Below are 2,260 nucleotides of genomic sequence, written 5' to 3' on the forward strand. Positions count from 1 at the left end.
TGTCCAGCTAATTTTTATATTTTGTAGAGACAAGGTCTTGCTGTGTTGCCCAGGCTGGTCTCAAACTCCTGGGCTCAAGTGATCCAACCACCTTGGCCTCTCTAAGTGCTAGGATTACAGGTGTGAGGTACCACACCTGGCCTACAACCCAGAAATTTGCCCTCAATAAATGGCAGAGTGAGGCTGGTCACAGTGGCACACATCTGTAATCCCAGCATTTTGGGAGGCCATGGTGGGAGGATCACTTAAGACCAGAAGTTCAAGACCAGCCTGGGCAACATGGTGAAACCCCCATCTCTACTAAAATACAAAAGAAATTAGCCAGGTGTGGCGGTGTGTGCCTGTAGTACCAGCTACTCGGGAGACTGAGGCAGGAGAATTTCTTGAACCTGGGAGGCAAAGATTGCAGTGAGCTGAGATTGCACCACTGCACTCCAGCCTGGGCGACAGAGCAAGACTCCTTCTCTAAAAAAAAAAAAAAAAAAAAAAAAAAAAAAAAAATAGGGCCGGGCGCGATGGCTCACGCCTGTAATCCCAGCACTTTGGGAGGCCAAGGTGGGCAGATCACAAGGTCAGGAGATCAAGACCCTCCTGGCTAACATGGTGAAACCCCGTCTCTACTAAAAATACAAAAAAATTAGCCGGGCGTGGTGGCAGGTGCCTGTAGTCCCAGCTACTTAGGAGGCTGAGGCAGGAGAATGGCGTGAACCTGGGAGGCGGAGCTTGCAATAAGCAGAGATTGTGCCACTGCACTCCAGCCTGGGCGACAGAGCAAGACTCCATTTCAAAATAAATACATAAATACATAAATAAATAATAGGCAGGCACAGTGACTCATGCCTATAATCCCAGCACTTTGGGAGTGCCGTGGTAGGAGGATCACTTGAGACCAGGAGTTCAAGGCCAGCCTGGATAACATTATGAGACCTCACCTCTTTTTTTTTTTTTTTTTTTTGAGACAAAGTCTCCCTCTGTTGCCCAGGCTGGAATGCAATGGCGTGGTCTTGGCTCATTGCAACCTCTGCCGCCTGGGTTCAATCGATTCTCCTGCCTCAGCCTCCTGAGTAGCTGGGATTACAGGTGCGCACCATGACGCCCAGGTAACTTTTGTATTTTTAGTAGAGACGGGGTTTCACCATGTTAGTCAGGCTGGTCTCGAACTCCTGACTTCATGATCTGCCTGCCTTGGCCTCCCAAAGTGCTGGGATTACAGGCGTGAGCCACAGCACCCGGCCGAGACCTCATCTCTTAAAAAAAAATTAGGCCAGGCATGGTAGCTCATGCTTGTAATCCCAGCACTTTGGGAGGCTGAGGTGGGGCTAAGGTCAGGAGTTCGTGACCAGCCTGGCCAATATGGTGAAACCCCGTTTCGGCTGGGCGCGGTGGCTCATGCCTGTAATCCCAGCACTTGGGAAGACAAAGGTGGGTGGATCACGAGGTCAGGAGATCGAGACCATCCTGCCCAACATGATGAAACCCCGTCTCTACTAAAAATGCAAAAATTAGCTGGGTGTGGTGGCACGTTCCTGTAATCCCAGCTAATCAGGAGGATGAGGCATGAGAATTGCTTGAACCCAGCAAGCGGAGGTTGCAGTGAGCCGAGATCGCGCCACTGCACTCCAGCCTGGTGACAGAGCGAGACTCTGTCTAAAAAAAAAAAGAAAAAAAGAAAAGAAACCCCGTTTCTACTAAGAATACAAAAATTAGCTGGATATGGTAGCAGGCACCTGTAATCCCAGCTACTTGGAAGGCTGAGGTAGGAGAATTGCTTGAACTCAGGAGGCGGAGGTTGCAGTGAGCTGAGATTGCACCATTGCACTACAGCCTGGGTGACAGAGCGAGACTCCGTCTCAAAAATAAATAAATAAAATTAAAAAACAATAATAAATAAAATAAATAAATGGCAGAGTGGTTTGAGTCATGCTGGAGGCGCACAGGCAGCTATGGAGGGTCAGCAGGAGGGACTGCTATGCTGCGACTGAAGGAGAGATGAGAATTGGCCTGGTAAGAGGCCACAGAGGGTGCTCGGGTGGGGGGACCAGCGTGTGTAAAGGCTTGGAGGCGACAGAGAACGATGGAGTGTTTCTGGAACTGTGTGTAGAGGGGCCCAACTCACACAGAGTGAGGGGAGAAAGGGCCATACTGCTGGAAGGGCCCACAAGCCCTGGGACGATGGGACTTGGACTCCATCCCAGGGCAATGGGGAGCCATGGGAGGTATGTGAGCAGAAGGCACATCAGACCTGTACCCCCTCGTCCTG

The 2,260-nt window shown here is 50.5% G+C and overlaps 1 annotated feature.

Annotated features, from left to right (window-relative positions):
* Window positions 664-958: a silencer, noted in NCBI's record as "tiled region #2922; K562 Repressive non-DNase unmatched - State 22:ReprW". NCBI's record gives its function as "represses a minimal TATA promoter and a strong SV40 promoter by Sharpr-MPRA in K562 cells {active_cell/tissue: K562}" and the evidence as "EXISTENCE:reporter gene assay evidence [ECO:0000049][PMID:27701403]".

Source organism: Homo sapiens, chromosome 19, assembly GCF_000001405.40.
Source record: "Homo sapiens chromosome 19, GRCh38.p14 Primary Assembly".
In the NCBI taxonomy this organism is placed as follows: domain Eukaryota; kingdom Metazoa; phylum Chordata; class Mammalia; order Primates; family Hominidae; genus Homo; species Homo sapiens.